The 18873-nt window shown below is 37.9% G+C and overlaps 1 protein-coding gene across 1 annotated transcript in view; it reads right to left on the reverse strand.

The window, feature by feature from the left end:
• Positions 1-1696: 1696 nt before the first annotated feature.
• The window catches only part of TOMM70 (translocase of outer mitochondrial membrane 70), a 37659-nt gene continuing 20482 nt past the window's right edge, over positions 1697-18873 (reverse strand). The window contains exons 6-12 of the mRNA NM_014820.5: positions 15971-16178; positions 13284-13418; positions 11804-11911; positions 10872-10988; positions 7304-7401; positions 6310-6432; positions 1697-3983 (exon numbers count right to left, since the gene is read on the reverse strand). Coding sequence (NP_055635.3) covers positions 3830-3983; positions 6310-6432; positions 7304-7401; positions 10872-10988; positions 11804-11911; positions 13284-13418; positions 15971-16178 — 943 coding nt within the window. The 3' untranslated portion in view covers positions 1697-3829. The remainder of the gene's footprint in view (positions 3984-6309; positions 6433-7303; positions 7402-10871; positions 10989-11803; positions 11912-13283; positions 13419-15970; positions 16179-18873) is intronic.

Here is an 18873-nt window from a genome sequence, read left to right on the forward strand (position 1 = left end):
ATAGTTATAGTGCAATCATTCATATTTTAAATCACAAATACCCCCACTTGTTGATGAAAACTCCAGTCTGTGGCATGGGTGTACATTCACTGCCTAAACCATCTTTGGCCAAAATTTGTGTGTATATGAAGTCATTCTACTTTAGCATACTCAAAGGCATTCCTTTAAACCATTTATCTGCTTGTACACAATAGCCAAAGGAATATTTGTTACTATGGCTGATGTAATAAACTATCATCACAAATTTAGTGGCTGAAAAAAAACAAAGTTATTCTCTTTTACTTCTGGAGTCCAAATTCATGGGGCCAAAATGAAGGTGTTGGCACTCTGCTCTAGGGCAGGATCCGTTTCTTGCCTTTTCCAGTTTCTGGTAGTTGCCAACATTCTTTGGCTTGTGGCCACATCACCTCCAGTCTCTGCCTCTGTGGCAACACTGCCATCTCCTCTTCTGTCTAAAACCTTCCTCTTACATAGACATTTGTGACTGCATTTTAAGGTCACCAGATCATCTAGGATAATCTCCCCTTCTCAAGACCCTTCACTACATCTGCAAAGCCCATTTTTTGCCAACTAAAGTAACATTCACAGGTTGCAGGGATAAGGATGTGGCTGTCTTTTGGGGAATCATTACTCATCCTATCAGTGTGGTAAAGCTTGCAAGTAAATTAAAATTTTGTCACTTTGTTCACAAATCAATTTAGCAGAGGATGGGAATAGGACTAATTATAACCCGTATCCCCACAACAACTCCTAAGTTATTTCCTTATAAATACAAATTCCATACAGGACAGTCTTGGGTAATTGTTATTCTATACTCCTAAGTTTCCTGGTTTGGCTATATTGTCCTCCTGTTATAGTCTTATAACAATTAGTTGACTTCTACAGGTACAAACTACTATTTAAACTACAATTTGAGTTCCCAGAGGGCAGAAAGTTCTGTCTGAACTGTTTTACAGCCAAAGTTGCTTTTTATTGTTTTGGGATGTATTCTCTACTTATACCACAATTTTCGAGGATGATTATTTCAGGTATGCTTTCTGAGAGACTCCACGTGGTTGAGAACTATGATCAATCTCACTGGTGAAACCAGATTCAAAATAAACTTATCCACAGGGTCCATGTCTGATTGGCAAGCTTCCAGGCTGCTGTGCATGTATGGGTAAGGTAGAGGCAAAGAATGAAATAAGTTGGCTCTACCAGCTCTCCGTGGAGCCTTGTTTCACAGTAGGAGGGGTGGATGCTCTCAAGAAACTCCACCATTCATACCAACAAACTTACTTTGCTTCATATGCTAACATTTCCTGTATGTTCCTATTTTCAAAGTTATTTTGAGTTCACAAGAGATTCACTGTGAATTTACGCAATAGCATAATAAATGAATAAACTACCTTTTTTTTTTTTTTGAGACGGAGTCTTGCTCTGTTGCCCAGGCTGGAGTGCAGTGGCGTGATCTCAGCAGGTTCACTGCAACCTCCGCCTCCCGGGTTCAAATGATTCTTCTGCCTCAGCCTCCCAAGTAGCTGGGACCACAGGCGCCCACCACCACACCCGGCTACTTTTTTGTATTTTTAGTAGAGACGGATTTCACCGTGTTAGCCAGGATGGTCTCGATCTCCTGACCTCGTGATCTGCCCGCCTCGGCCTGCTAAAGTGCTGGGATTACAGGTGTGAGCCACCATGCCCAGCCTAAACTACCTATCTTTCTATTTAAAGAATAGATAGAAGAGCTTGAATGTAATATTTATTTGGTGAATTTACATGTGAGGTCATTTACAAAAGAAAGATACAGACAGATGCAGCTTTCAGTGCAGTTTCAAACATTTTCACAACAGGCAATAGTCCATGAGAATTTGGAATGACAGTATAGAATGGCACATGCTTCAGTTTCCTTTGTGTTTCTCTACCCAACCCCAAGATGAAAGAAGGGAGAAGAGTAGAAGAAAATGTCAGTGTTAATGTAAATACAGCCATGCAAATAAAAACTTTTTTAAAGTCAGAGGTCATTCAGAGATGTAGAACATTTCTGTATTTGGGGGTTATCAGAAGGTGCATAATTTAAAAACAAAATGCAGCGGTCTCAAACTTCCCATCATCCAAATCATCTTGAATTATATTAACTGCACCAACTAATTAGTGACCTCCTCAATATTTTCCAAAGATTGACTTTGAAAGGGAGTCATTTCTAATAGTTTCTAAAAAAGATAGCATTTGTAGACAAATCTTTTTGGTTTCAACAGAATTAAGCACCCTTAAGGGGTGTAAAAATGCTCCTTTACTCCCAACAGTGTAAACCATAATTATAATTCGTTCTTAAATAAACCTCTCCCCATCCTGAGTATTTCAAAACAAAAGACCCCTGAAGAACACAACCCTTCCCTCACCAGAAAAATCTAGCATATAAGCAAAAGGATGGTCTATAAAAGTGGAAAATGGAAATAAATCGTAAAGTGATTTCTAAGTAAGGAGGTGGAGTAAAGCTTAAACACTGTCAGTACCCCTAGTGAAGACCTGGACCTGGGTAGTTAGTCCTTAGAGATCAAGGTTAGCTCACTACAAAAAGCACTCTACATGTCCTCAGCATCTTCAAAAATAAGTGGCTCAAAATTCCTTAAGCACATGTAGCCATAGTTAAAGCACTAAACTTGTTATTTCAGGAAATACTATGCTCTGGCTCCAAGTCTTACATCCTTTTTGACCCTTTAGCCACATGTCCTTCACGAGAAATTTTAAGCTATTTTAATACTCCCATATATCACACTTACTCTACCTTTATTTGGGTTTTACATACAAGCAATCTGCACTTTGATTTTAAAAAAGTTCTAAAATTTTTTAAAGGATGGGGTCTTGCTATATTGCCCAGGCTGGAGTGCAGTGGCTATTCGCAGGTGCAATCATCATGGCACATTACAGCCTCGAGCTCCTGGTCTCAAGCCTCTTGCCTCAGCCTCCCTAGTAGCTGAGACTATAAATAGTATATACAGTGCCACTGTACCCTCTATCCTACATTTTTAAAAGCTCACCATTAAATAGTACTAATTATTATAGAAAATAGTCACAGACAATTATAAACACACTACTGTTTCATCTTACCTCTTTGTCTGGTCCACTCCCCCATCAATACTCAGTCTTCCAACACATATATCAATTAGAATATTTTGCATCTGCATAATTTACTGCAAGAAAATCTGCTGTTGTGGACTTTAAGAAGAATGTACACTATCCATTAGAGTGGAAAGGGGCCAAGAGGATTAATAAGTGCCACCAAGTTTCTAAAACTGCAGAATCAGAGGCATTGTGCATGCTGACAATGGTTTAAAGGGTCTCTCAATTTTACTTTAATCCCCCATTTAACCTTTGTTTCTTTCAAAAAATCAACTGAAAGCGGTTAACTGAATATAAATCTATTTTACAGCATTTACTACGTTAATTTAAAAATCAACATGCTGTAAAATACTTACATTATTCACACATATATAGACGGAATCATCCAGAACATAATCAACTGCCAACCCCCCTTAAAAAAAAAATCAACAAATCAGTTTTTATTTGCATGGCCAATTATCATTTGTACTCTTTGCAACTTTATTTAAAAATCCCTTTAACATGTTCTAATCTTTTGTTGCACAGGGAATAAAAGCTGCAAGACTGCAAACTTCCTTCAACAGCCACACCCACAACACCTAGACATGAAACAGATGTAACAAATAACAACACCACAAACAGAAATACTGATTTCCACCATTCAACACAGTTCATGACAGTGTCTTTAGGGTTCAGTTGAAGAGGGGGTAAACTTTTAAAAAGAGGGTCAGTCTGCTTTCCCCCTGTTTTATAATGTTGGTGGTTTTAATCCGTATTTCTTTGCAACTTCTGTCTGGGCATGGGCGGCATCGCAAAGTGAATACAGATGGGCCATCTCCATTTCCGATTTGGCCAGGTTAATAGCTTTGTTGAACATGTCAATGGCTTTCTCCATGTTTCCTCTAAAAGAACAAAATTTTTAAGTCTCAGATTCAACAAGCACTTCACAATATTCAATGAAGGTTGTAAGTGATGGTACATGAAGTCTGACCACTAAGTTTCTTCACAATATTCAATGAAGGTTGTAAGTGATGCTACATGAAGTCTGACCACTAAGTTTCTACTATGATTCTAGTAAAATGCTTCTTTTAAAATAAACAAGAGTACCTACCACATTGAAAGCACTCAATGAATGTCAACTACTATTACAAATACTATGTGCTTACATTATATCCCTTGTATTCTGTGTTTACTGATAAGAACAGTCAGACTAGGGAAATTGATTGGCTTATTTAAAATCACAATTCCGTCTGGTTCCTAAATTTTACATGTTTCTACTGTTAACATGAGACTCCTTTAGAAAGCAGTGACATAATACCGGGACACTAATGACATGCAAGGGCCTTACCTTCACAGACTGATGTGGGCCCACCTCTTTCTGTTTCATCTCTTACCAGCACATCCCCAACCCCATGCATCTCTACTCTTCAGGCAGTCTATGTGAGTTCCTCACACCTACTCAATAAATACTCAGATTTATTGCCTCTGCCTGATTCTGGTCAAATCCACAGCTATCTAAGAACCAACTGTTTTAAGTAACTAGTATTAGCTACATATATATGCAATCCTACAAAGAATATTAAGTCCCTACTATATATATATATACCTGCATATACAGAGTCTAACTGGCATACATGTTAGTAAGGTACATTTTATTGGCATATGTGCCAGTTAGACTTTATATGCCAGTAAGAGGTACCACTAGGGTGACTATATTTAATCCCCCATTATAATATATGGCAACGTGATAGGCTTATTTTTAAAAAAAACTTTTTTCAAGAGTTCATGTTCTGGCATTAGGCCAACAGCTAGCAGATCTGCAAAATCCTAGGATAATCTGCAATTTCATTTATTCAAATTCACTTATTTAATTGTAAGGTTCAGAATGGATTTTTTCAAAGTTCAATTAACGTGAACAAAATTCCATCAAACCCTATCAGAGGTCTTTAGTTAACCCAGGATCTATGAAAGCCTTGAATTAAAAGCAAAGTGTTTTTGTGTGCATTATTCTAAGAAGAATCCACAGCTTCGCTCAAAAAAGATTAAGAACTACCACCCTATCCTATTCTAGTACAAGAATATTTTATTCACATTAACAAATTAGCAATTAAGAAATAATTTAGGCTGGGTGCAGTGGCTCACACCTGTAATCCCAGCACTTCAGGAGGCTGAGATGGGCAAATCACTTGAGGCCGAGAGTTTGAGACCATCCTGGCCAACATGGCAAAAGCCCATCTCTGCTACAAATACAAAAAGTTAGCTGGGCATGGTGGTGCATGCCTGTAGTCCCAGCTACTTGGGTGGCTGAGGTACAAGAATCACTTGAACCTGGGAGGCAGAGGTTGCAGAGTCAAGATTGTGCCACTGTACTCCAGCCTGGGCTGGAGACTCTGTCTCATAAAAAGAAGAAAAAAAAACTTAATATTTACATGCCACTGTGGGTACAGAATGGTTAAAAGAAACACAATTTTTTTTTTACCAGCCTATATATATTCTGCCTACTGTAGAGCAGGGAGAGGACTACAGGAGGGGCTGAATGATAGGGAATTAAGAAAACTCATGCTGCTTCCTGACAAGTGATAATGCCAAGATCAGTGACTGTGGTATCAGTGATATATGAGCTCAAACCCTGTCTTCTCTATTGGCTTACTGTGCAACCTTGTAAACCTAAGCCCTCTGGGCATCAGTTAAATTAGGGATCATATAATCTCCACCTTTATAAAGATGGGGATGAAGATTAATTGAAATAGTACTTAGGAAACATCTAAAGTTTAATACTTGGCCTAAAGTAGGAAACTCAAATGAATGGCAATACCAGTATTAAGATGGTATACAATAAATCCCATATATAAAACAGCTGTCACCTTTTAATGGTGGATCTTAAGAGCAACTCTGGATAAACACTTACACAAAATAAGAGGTTAAGGACAGAGCTGCAAAAAATGTTCTTATCCAACTCTGATTTTAAAGAAAATTCAGGGGCTCTGAGTTGATGTTGCAACTTGCCCAGCCATTTGGCTGGATGCTTCTTTGGAGGAGGGTCCAGATTTTCTGGCAACTTGGCTACCAATCCTTATGTCACTGCCTTAGCACATTTTTTTTTCCAACGTGAATAATACAGGTGAAAAGAGGAAAGAACATAACAGACTTTAACATGTACGTAATAAGAACAAAAAGCTAAATATCTATGGAGCTACCATATATTTCCTAACAGACTCCAGAAGTTACCTTTGTACTTCAATAGTTCCCATGGTTTCATAGGCAAAATCACATTTATTGTCAATTTCAATAGCCTTGCTGATAAGTTCCAAACCTCTATCCAGATCTTGCTTCCACTGAAGTTGAAGTAAACTGCAAATGCAAAAAAATGTCAGATGTGACCATGGCCCAGTATCAGTAGGAATACACACACATTAATATGACTCAATTTCTGCCTTCAATGAACTTATAAGTTAACTTATAACTTATAAGGCAATATATAATCAGCATCAAATTGTGTTTTTTTTCTCAGCTTATATTGGTTTGCTAGTCTAAGTTCCTTATTACAAAAAGTGTTCAATGGTCTAGGCTCTATTACCAATCTTGCATCCCTTATTTTTCACTTTATATAAATTTAAGTGAAGTTTCTTAGGATAATTCAAGTACGCAAGGACACGAACACTTGTGTATGCTTCGTATTTGGATATAAGCCAACAGCTGACAGGATGTTCAGTTTGAAATTAAAACCCTTAACACAGAGCAAGAATAGTACATTAATTTCTTTCTTTTTGTTTTTTTTGGGACAGAGCCTCACTCTGCCGCCCAGGCTGGAGAGCAGTGGTGCAATCTTGGCTCACTGCAACCTCTGCCTCCCAGGTTCAAGTGATTCTCACTCCTTAGCCTGCTGAGTAGCTGGGAATCGGGCATGTGCCACCACACCTGGCTAATTTTTTGTAGTTTTAGTAGACACCGGGTTTCACCATGTTGGTCAGGAGGGTTTCGAACTCCCAACCTCAGATGATCTGCCTGCCTCGGCCTCCCAAAGTACTAGGATTACGTGTAAGCCACTGCGCCTGGCCTCCTTAACTAATTTCTGTAAGAATGAAAAGACATCTAGGAGCATTAAGAAGTTTGTCAATTAACTTCTCTACCACAGTCCCCTTCCTCAGTGGCCAAAATAAATACATTTTATTACTATGCAAGAAATTTATTATCTCATTGGAACAATCACAAAAATACATACCCTTTATGAACATATGTTGTAGCATTATCTGGTTCCAAATCAATACATTTATCATACATTTCATCAGCTTTACCAAACTGTTGTTGATCTGTTAATGCCTATGTGAGGAGATACTTCAGTTATATTAAGGTAACCGTCAACCTAAGCAGTTAAAAGTATACTTATTATTCATTATAAAAATTTACTTCATTCATTATTACAAAATTATCACGTTTTGGGGATACAGACTGATTTACATTTTACATCTTAATTATCGGAGTTTTTAGGTGGCACTGCTATAAATATGAAATCTTAACTATCCTCTTTCTTCAGCAAGTGGTTAGTTATATGCCACAGCAGATAATCTCTGGTAAACTGTTCAATACAGATAATCCCATTCTTAGTCACAGCTCTAATATCACATTCTCATAGGTACAGTCACATCACTTATTCATAATTTATCATAATACAGCCCAAGGGAATTTTTTTTTTTTTTTTTTTGAGATAGAGTTTCATTCTTGTCACCCAGGCTGGGGTGTAGTGGCGCAATCTCTGTTTTCTGCAACCTCCGCCTCTTGGGTTCAAGTGATCCCCCTGCCTCAGCCTCCTGAGTAGCTGGGACTACAGGCGCCCAACACCTTGCCTGGCTAATTTTTGTATTTTTAGTAGAGATGGGGTTTCACCATGTTGGCCAGGTTGGTCTCGAACTCCTGACCTCAGGTGATCCACCCACCTCGGCCTCCCAAAGTTCTAGGATTACAGGAGTGAGCCACCGCACCTGGCCAGGGAATTATCTTAAGGGCAATATTCATTTGGAAGTATAAGTTAAGATGTATGTGTTAAATGTCTTCAGAGCTATTTGTTTAAAATTATTGATTTTTTAAAAAGCAGCTATAACTGCTTCAACTAATATATCTCCAAAAATAATTCCCTAATATTATCTATAATACCTAGCCCATATTCAGTTAACCCCGGTTATTTATAAGATGACTTTTAAGAAGTATGTGAGTCATTATATTTAGCTGTATGGCTCTTAGTCTTTTCATATCTAAAATAAGCCAACTTAAATATTTTAAAAATCGCTCTTAAAAATATCAAAGAAATGTAGCCAGCACATCTTCTTTATAATAAAAATCAGAAAGATATAGAAAGTAGAAATATTTTTATAGCTTCCATCATTGTGAGCATGGATGCCTTCCTGATATATTTTTCTATCTCTATTTACTTCCCTATTTGTTTTCTTTCACATGGTTGAGTTCATTTTGTATGCAATTCTCCCTTTAATAATAGGCAGTGCTGTATCTTGCTTTGTAACTTTAATGTATTTGTAACTTTTAATGGCTGCATAATATACCATTAAGTGAGTGTACCACAATTCTGCAAACATAATTCAATTTTCTGTTAACATTTAGGATTTTCCCCAATTGTTTGTCATAGTTAACAATAATGTAATAAATACTTATTTTGAAAACAAAAGCAGCAGCTATAATCAACTTTTTAAGACAAATCCCACGGCTGAAATGGAAGGCACAGTTCTGTGGATATCAGACTATGCTCAAGCTGTAACTTTGCGAGTTGGCCAGCATCTACGCCAAAGCTTTGAGGGCCAAAAAAGTTACACTAAGTATATATATATACACATACACATACACACACACGTACTGTATGCATATATAAAGTTACATATACTATATAGTGAAGCTAAAATTAGAAAACAGACCAAAGAAAAGAAATTTGAGTGCAAACTGACTGTAATAATGCTAATGCTGATGAGAAGACAGCTCATACAAACCAAACCTATCTTGAAGGCAGAATGGTAATAGGGAAATATGCTATTGGGAAAGTTCTGCAGAGGAGTTGTTCCCCAGTAGTGGTTCCTATTCGGTGGCCTTTGCTCTTCTAGATGCTTAGAGAAATCTGCACCAAAAAAGCCCTTCTGAATTCCATGACAATGATGAGGATGTTGCTGTCATTTCCTGGTTTGTTACTAATTATAAGGCATAAACTCAAGTGTACCCATTCATAGGATTAAAATGTACACTTTAATGTAGTTATATATAAGACCTACCTCTAAAGAACAGATCCAACACAAATCAATTTTCTCATAGTTCCACCCTCAATAAACCCTTAAAATCCTTGTGAAATTGTTCTTATAACCTGCCTACAGATACCATGAAGGAAATTAAAAACAAAATAAGCATCCTTAAGAATGGTTTAAGGAGAGGGGTCAACCAGCGATGGTATTTTTTTTTTTTTTTTTTTTTTTTGGAAATGGAGTCTCACTCTTGCCCAGGCTGGAGTGTGGTAGTGTGATCTCAGCTCACTGCAACCTCCGCCTCCTGGGTTCAAGCGATTCTCCTACCTCAGCCTCCCGAGTTGCTGGGATAACAGGTGTGCGCCAAACCACACCCAGCTAATTTTTGTATTTTTAGTAGAGATGGGGTTTCTCCATGCTGGCCAGGCTAGTCTCAAAACTCCTGGCTCAAGTGATCCGCCTGCCTCAGCCTCCCAAAGTGCTGGGATTGCAGGCAGGAGCCACCACACCCAGCCAGGGGATAGTAATTTGTTATCGTTTCCTATTTCTGTGCTGTGGGGAAAAACCCAACATGTCTTTTGTAATTAAAAAGAGAAAAAAAAAGAAAAATAAATTACATAGAGCAGCAGTCCCCAACACCTTCCCAGCACTTTTGGCACCACGGATTGGTTTTGTGGAAGACAATTTTTGCATGGATGGGGGTAGGAGGAGGAGGGATGGTTTTGGGATGAAACTGTTCCACCTCAGATCATCAGGCATGAGAATCTAATGCTGCTGCAGATTTGACAGTGACAGGAGGTGGAGCTCAGGTGGTGATGCTTGCCCAAGGCTCACCTGCTGTGCAGCCCCATTCCTAAGAGGCCACAAAGCAGCTGTACCCCTGATATAGAGTATTGAGATGGCTAGTTTATGTAGACACCAAAACCAATTTTCAGCTTTAAGAAAGAAAACTGAGTCATTCAGAGATCTTTTATTTGAGGGGAAAATGTATGACCGTCACTACAAGAAGCTAATCATTTTCATTTAAATGGATGATTTAAAACTAAGAAGTTTTCAAGAATTTCAGACTACAATAAAAAAATTCAGATTTAAATCCTGCTTTCCATAGCTTCAATCCTAAACCAAGAGAGTTTCAGGAATTTTAGATAAAGCAAAGATAAATTAAAATAAACCGTTACAACAACCTAGCCATATAAAAAGGCAGTGACCAGATAGAAAGAAAAGCCTTTCCGTGGATATTTTCTCCACCAATTGCATACGGTAAATTTTCCTAAGGTAATTACTTTTTGCAAAACCAATCCAAATGAAGACAGGAGGGAAATTCTCGCCTTAAGCTTCCCCATATTGAGTTTAGGGCCATGATTTCCAAATTGTGTAACAAAGGAGCCTCTTCTGAGGTGATTCGGGACCAACCAGGGGCCATGAGAATCAATCAGGAACAAAGCCACCTGCTTCCAAAGAAGCTGCAACCATGATAGCACTGTTTTCTGATTTCCATACTGAGATTTGGCATATGTATGCAGTTATTTTTAAAAAACCTGAAAAAACATTTACCTGGGCGTATAGTGCATAGCCTTCGGCACACCTTGGAAATTTCTTTATGACCTCTTCAAAACCTTTCATAGCTGCTTGGATTTGTGAAGAGTTGTTTCCCGTATATGCCTGGCGGTACTATAAAAAATCAAAACAGGCCTGTCAAATCAAGAACTCAAAAACTCATGGAATGTTAACATAAACACACAAAATTACATAAATATTTCCAAAAAAACAGGTGATTTGCTAACATAATCTGCAGCATCCAAAAGGGTTCCAAGTAGGTATCTCAGCAGCAGAGAGCCAAAGGTTATGTACAACTAGGACTCCATGGCCACTATACAATTTCAAGATGTTCAATACTGTAGAAGAGGGCATACTAATTTGTAAGAAGTGAACTTTGCAATAAATGAATTTTAAATCTAGTAAAATTTTTGTCATTTTCATTTATAATATATATTTGTGACATAATTTCTTCCTTTAAACTGAAAATTCTTTTACGACTCCAGCCATACAGCTAACTGGAAGTATCTTATTTTACTAGAAAAATTTTTACTTAAAAAAAAAAAAAAAACAACCTTTTGAGCTTTGTGTTTCTGAATATTAAGAAACAGTTCTATGAAGCAGGGGTGAGAGAGCAAGTTACATGGTGTCATGTTTACAGAGTGTTTCCTCAAAATGTTTTTGCTCTTTATATTGATTTATGATGAAGCAGGGAGACCAGTTCTGTTTAGGGAAGTATAAAATCAGGGACAAACATCTATCAAGATGAACCCAAACAAATGTCCAGAGAAATACAAGAGCTAGGTATCAATCAGCACCTTTTTTCCTCAGTAGTTATCCTTTGGGAAAGAAAGAAAAAGACGACTTTGTAGACAATGAGATACTCATTTTTGTTGACGCTGGAAAATAAAAGTGATGTTTAGGAAAATACAAAAGAAAGTAGTACCTACCAATGCAAAACATTTCTGTGCTTGTGCCAGAGCAGACTCAGGTCTTAACCTAATACATTCATCAAAATCTGCCACTGCTTCTTCAACTTGATCAAGGAGTATTTTCAGCTAAGAAAAAAATACGTAAATAAATGTAATTCAACTAGTCCAGTTAAGTATGTTCAGTGTCTCATCTCTATTATTACACCTCAGCATAATGCTGAGCATGTAGTAGTAATTCAATATATAATTACTTTCTAGAAACAGTGATTTAAAAATCTTGAAATTTAAAAGGCAAGATTCCAAAACATAAAAATGGTATCCAACTTATAGAAAGGACTACAAGCCAACCATTTCTGCCCTGCAATTCTGATCACTATTAAGCAAGAAACCCCTTCTTCTAGAAAACTAAACATCCTGTACATTCTAATATCAAAGCAGGTTAGACATCAGATAATTACCTTTCAAATTAATCTTCAGACACTACCAGTAAAGATCAAAATGTCAAGAATTTTAAGAGGTTATCTCAACACTTAACACCCTTCTGAAAGAAATACAGTCATGCATATTTACATTTCAATCAACAGACCACATATACAACAGTGGTCCCAAAAGATTGTAATACTGCATTTTTACTGTACCTTTTCTATGTTTAGATATGTTTTAGACACACAGATACTTACCATTGTGTTATAACTGCCTATAATATTTGGTATAGTAACATGCTATACACGTTTGTAGCTTAGGAGCAACAGGCTACAACATACAGCTTAGGTGTGTAGTAGGCTATACCATCTAGGTCTGTAGAAGTACACTCTATGATGTCCACACAACAAAATCGCCTAATAATGCACTTCCCTGGCAGGACACATGACCCTATTAGGTAAAATTCTCCATTAGAAAGAACTTCGGCTCTTCTGTTATTATTAATGCATAGCTCACACTTTATACCATAATGCATTCCAAGAAGCCATGTTAAGCTGATTATAAAGCCATGTTTTCCCCACTTGAGGCAGTAATTGGAAACTGTTTCTTCACTATATATTTCTACTAAAAAACTAATATGCCTGTTATAAAACTTCAAAAGATAAATATATTTATTTTTACTATTTGGACAGTCCAGACTATTTCCTTATAGCAAGAAGCTCACAAAAATCATCCTGTTGATTCTAGAATTAACTCACATTGCTTACTAAATGTTATTAATGTTTTACTCATTGAAACCTATGAACCAGAAACACCAGAAAAACAAACTTGAACTGGTAAGCCAACAGTTTTTGCCTTCCTTTACTCTTTTTTCATAAGTAAATACCAAAATTAAAGACAAATATTCAAGACAGACTAAACAAAGGCCAATTCAAACTGTAAACCACTGTGATACTTTGTTCACAGCTATCAGAAATTATATAAGAAAACTCAAGAAAATTACATAAGAAATTCTCAAAAATGGTATCAAAGCTCAATCCACAAGTCAGACCTCTAGGTAAGAAAACAGACTTACCTGTCCTCGGTGGTGATAAACATCTGCATTCTGAGGATCGATGTCAGCAGCCATGTTAAAATCTTGAGTGGACAGCAAAGGCTGCTGCTGTTGCATGTACATGCTGCCTCTTTTGATGAGAGCATTTGCTCGAAGCTATATACCCCAAGTGAGGAAAGGTTCATCATTACTTTTTTTTCCCTCCAATCTAGTTTCTTTAAATAACAGCTTTTTTCTATAATCCACATATCACAAAGGTCACCCTTTTAAAGTATGCATGTCACCTGTTTTTAGTGTATTCACTAAGTTGTGTGTTGATTACCACTATCTAATTCCAGAACATTTTCATCACCCTTAAAAGAAACCACATACAAATAAGCAGTCACTCTCCATCCCCCTCACCTCCTACTCTTCAGCCCCTAGAAAACACCAACCTATTTTCTATTTCTATGGATTTGTATATTCTGGATGTTTCATGTAAGTGGAATCATACATTATATATAGCCTTTTGTGTCTGGCTTCTTTGATTTAGCATAATGTTTTCAAGGTTCATCCATATTGTAGCATGTATCAGTTTTTCATTCTTTTGTTATGCCTGAAAAATATTCCATTGTACAGATATCACATTTTATTTATCCATTCATCAACTGATGGACATTTGAGCTGCTTCCACTTTTTGGCTACCATAAATAATGCTGCTATGAACATTCACATACAAGGTTTTTAAAAAAGCTTTTTAAAAATAGAGATGAGATTTTGCTACGTTACCCAGGGTAGTCTAGAACTCCTGGGTTTCCAAAGTGCTGGGATTACAGGTGTGAGCCTCCACACCCAGCTCTCATGTACAAGTTTTTGTGTTAACGAACGTATTAAATTCTCTTGGGTATATACCTAGGAGTGGAATTACTAGATCATATGGTAAGTTTCTGAGGAATTGCCAAACTAATTTCCAAAAGGGCTTCACCATTGTATTAATATATTTCCACCAGCAATGTATGAGGGTTCCAATTTTCCACATCTTCAAAAACACTTATTATTGTCCAATGTTTTTTATTAGAGCCTTATTGTCTTTTTGATTATAGCCATCCTAGTAGGTGTGAAGTGGCATCTCATGGTGGTTTTGGTTTGCATTTCCCTAATGGCTAATGATGCCAACAATCTTGTCATTTATTATTGGTCATTTGTATATTCTTTGGAGAAATGTGTATTCAGATCCTTTGCCCATTTTTAACTTAGGTTGTCTTTTTATTGTTGAGCTCTAAGAGTTCTTTATTCTGGATACAAGCTCCTAATCAGATATATGATTTGTGAATATTTTTCCCATGTTGTGTGATGTGTTTTCTCCTTCTTGATGGTGTCTTTTCACACAGAAGTTTTTTTTTTTTTTTGAGACAGGATCTCTGTCACCCAGGCTGGAGTACAGTGGCACAAGTCACGGCTCACCGCAGACTTGACCTCCCAGGTACAGGTGATCCTCCCATCTCAGCCTCCTGAGTAGCTATGACTACATGCACATGCCATCATGCCCGGCTAATTTTCAGGCATGAGCCACCACCCCAGCCAAGCACAGAAGTCTGATCACGTCCAATCTATTTTTTTTTTTTGGTTGCTTGTGCTTTTGGTGCCATATCTAAGAAACTGCTGCTTATCTAAGGTAACAAACATTTAGTCCTCTATTTTATCCTAACAGTTTTATAGTTTTAGCTCTTACATTTAGGGCTCTAATCCATTTTGAGTTAATTTTTGTGCATGGCATATGGTAGGCATCATTACTACTTGCCACTAAAAGTCATGTGATCATGAAAACAATGCGTTTCTTTAAAATTTTGTTCAAAGCAATACTACATACATATAGAACAAATAATAACATCCTCCACAATTATAACAAAAACATATAACATATATCAGTTGTAATCATCAGGAAAATCAGCAGAAAATAATATTAAAGATAATATTATGAGGGTATCTTCAATTTGAAAATCTCATTTTGAAAGAAACTTTTAACAATATTTAGGTCTTAAAACAACTTTTATATCCCCCCCAAATATAGGAGAGGAGAGAGGCTACAGAGTTCATTTAATGCAATGAGGAAACAGGTCACAGAGATGTTAACAAACTAATAAGTAATATAGTTAATTGGTGGTTAAATTGTTTTGTTACACTGAATAGAATGTAACAATTCAACAGATGCCCCTGAATCTTAATTATGAAATGTGTAATACATAGCACATTAAGAATACTTAGAAAATGAAAGGCTGTTCCAACTGTACAACTGCAAGACTTTTGGCATATTTATACATTCTATTTTTAGAACCTTTCTGAATATATTAATGTGTTTTTATTAAGTGTTTTATAACCTGGTGCTACATATTACACGTTACTGACAGCATTATCTACAGAATTGCATATCACCTTTACCACTGCCCAAATACAGTCCAATATGGTAGGCAGTGGCTACAGGGAGACGATGAAACTACCGGATGCTATAGGAAAAAAAAATTTCCTTTCCTAAATAAAGATAAATATCATTGATATTTATGTTTTCAGATTCACTGCACCAACTACATTATTATTAAGAGTAGTTTCTTCAAAAACAAAAACAGCCCTTTGAAGAATGGCAGTTGAAATGCTTTAAAAAATCTGGCAAAACATAATGAAAGGCATCGCCTTCTATTTAATAATTTCTTCACACACATTTTTTAATGTACCTTCACATTAGCTTCTTTCAAACTGATGACTTTATCTAAATCTGGTTTGGCTGCATTGGCATTGCCAATAAGCAGGTAGAAGGTAGCTCGTAGTAGCAATGCTTCTGCCATGTATTTGCCTTCAGCATCTATTTCTTTTGAGCATTCACTTATGATTTTATCGTAGTTTTCTTCTTCCATATACTGTTTGGCCTTTAAGTATCCAGAACTGAAAATAAAAACAAACATAGGAAATTATTTACTAAGAAAAAATTAAATGTGGCTGGGTGTGGTGGCTCACGCCTGTAATCCCAGCACTTTGGGAGGCCGAGGTGGGCGGATCACGAGGTCAGGCATTCGAGACCAGCCTGGCCAACATGGTGAAACCCGTCTCTACTAAAAATACAAAAATTAGCCGGGCGTGGAGGCGCATGCCTGTATCCCAGATACTTAGGAGGCTGAGGCAGGAGAATCGCTTGAACCCGGGAGGTGGAGGTTGCAGTGAGCCGAGATGGTGCCACTGCATTCCAGCCTGGGAGACAGAGCAAGACTCCATCTCAAAAAAAAAAAGAAAGAAAGAAAAGAAAAGAAAGAATTCAATGTTAAAACATGCCACATTTGGCACACCTGAGTTAATTAAGCAATTGTCTATTTCCACTTAACAAGATAATCAGCCAGTGTGGCATGGGGTTGGGGTGGGGAGGGGCGGTGCGGTTAAACAGATTAGGATTTTTGATGTAGACGGGGATTTTCTTGAAACCTTGGAGGAGGAGTTTTAAAAAGGAAGCAGCAGAGTCCTGGGTAATACCTCAGCTTAGACATTTAGATACTGAAAAGATGAGCTAACGAAAGAGAGACTGATCTGCAACATAGGTAAGGATCCTGTCTTATTCACCTTCATATCTGAGGCACATCAATGGTACTCAACAGTTGTTTAATGGCTAAAAGAAGGAACAGGGAAATAGGAAATAAGTGACTTTAGAGTCACAGAAGCTAAGGCAAGGGGTGTGAGCAGACCTAGAATTAATAACTGAACTTATTGGCTGGATGCGGTGGCTCACGCCTGTAATCCCAGCACTTTGGGAGGCAGAGGTGGGCGGATCACGAGGTCAGGAGATCGAGACCATCCTGGCAAACATGGTGAAACCCCATCTCTAATAAAAATACAAAAAAATTAGTCAGGCGTGGTGGCGGGTGCCTATAGTCCCAGCTACTCGGGAGGCTGAGGCAGGAGAATGGCATGAACCCGGGAGGCGGAGCTTGCAGTGAGCTGAGATCGCGCCACTACACTCCAGCTTGGGCGACAGAGCGAGACTCCGTCTCAAATAAATAAATAAATAAATAAATAAATAAATAACTGAACTTACTAAAGAAGCAAATTTAAAGGAAGACTCTTCCATCAATTAATACTTTAAAAAACACCCTTCTGTATGTTTTAAAAAGCAGTGAGCACAGTATCTCTTATTATTCTTCTAAGATGATGACTTTTATGGAGATGCTTGTAGAAGTAATTTTTTTTAACTGAAATTTGTATTAGGTGTCATGAGGTACATGAGGTATCTTCCAAACATAAGGCATTGTAAATTAAAGTACATTTTCTTATTTCAGTTGTTATATCTGTATAAAGAAAACTGGCAAATGACTTAAAAGTTACGTCAGGCCAGACATGGTGGCTCATGCCTGTAATCCCAGTAGTATGGAAGGCTAACGTGGGAGGATCACCTGGGCCCAGGAGTTCAAGACCAGCCGGGGAAACATGGCAAGACCCTGTCTCCATAATTAAAAACAAAAAAAATTAGCCAGGCATGGTGGTGTGCACTTAGAGTCCCAGCTACGCAAGACATTGAGGCGAGAGGATAGCTTGATTCCAGGAGTTGGAGGCTGTAGTGAGCTATGATCGCAACACTCTACTCCAGCCTGAGTGACCCCCTCTCTCTCCCTTTTGTTTTTTGAGACAGAGTCTTGCTCTGTTCCCCAGGCTGGAGTGCAGTGGCATGATCTTGGCTCACTTCAACCTCTGCCTCTGGGACTCAAGCAATCCTCCCACCTCAGCCTCCCCAGTTGCTGAGACTACAGGTGGACACCACCATGCCAAGCTAATTTTTGTTATTCTTCTGTAGAGACAGGGTTTCTCCATGTTGCCCAGGCTAGTCTCAAACTCCTGGGCTCAAGCAATCTGCCCACCTCAGCCTCTCAAAGTGTTGGGATTACAGGCATGAGCCACCATGTCTGACCTGACCCTGTCTCTTAAAAAAATTTAAAAAGTTATGTCAGCCAAAAATCTTATAAGCTCTATGCTAACCTCTCCTGTAATGACATTCCAATGTTGCCTACATTCTAGTTTTGTTTCTCAGGTCACCAGGCTAAGAAAACACAAACAGGCCAGGTGCAGTGGCTCACACCTGTAATTCCAACACTTTGGAAGGCCGAGGTGGGTGGATCACCTGAGGTCGGGAGTTCGAGACCAGCCTGGCCAACATGGTGAAACTCCGTCTCTACTCAAAATACAAAAATTAGCTGGCGTCGTGGCATGAGCCTGTAATCCCAGCTACTAGGGAAGCTGAGGTGGGAGAATTGCTTGATCCCAGTAGGCAGAGGTTGCAGTGAGCCAAGACTGCACCACCACTGCACTCTAGCCTAGGCGAAAGATACCTCATTATCAAAAAAAAAAGAGAAAACGAAAACACAAACAATGATTAAATCAGATTAGAAGTAATCCCACTTACTGAAGAACATAAGTGCTAGTTATTTATAAGCATGATTTCTACACCTCACAATAACCTTGTAAGGTAAATATTACTAGCTCCATTTAAAGGATGATAAAGCTAAGGCTCAGAGTAAAATGGAATTTAAAACTTGGGTCCAATTCCAGTTAGTGTGCTGATGATAGCTAGCTACGTCCTACCATCTCTCAGTAAAGCTTT

Source organism: Homo sapiens, chromosome 3 (assembly GCF_000001405.40).
Source record: "Homo sapiens chromosome 3, GRCh38.p14 Primary Assembly".
Classification (NCBI taxonomy): domain Eukaryota; kingdom Metazoa; phylum Chordata; class Mammalia; order Primates; family Hominidae; genus Homo; species Homo sapiens.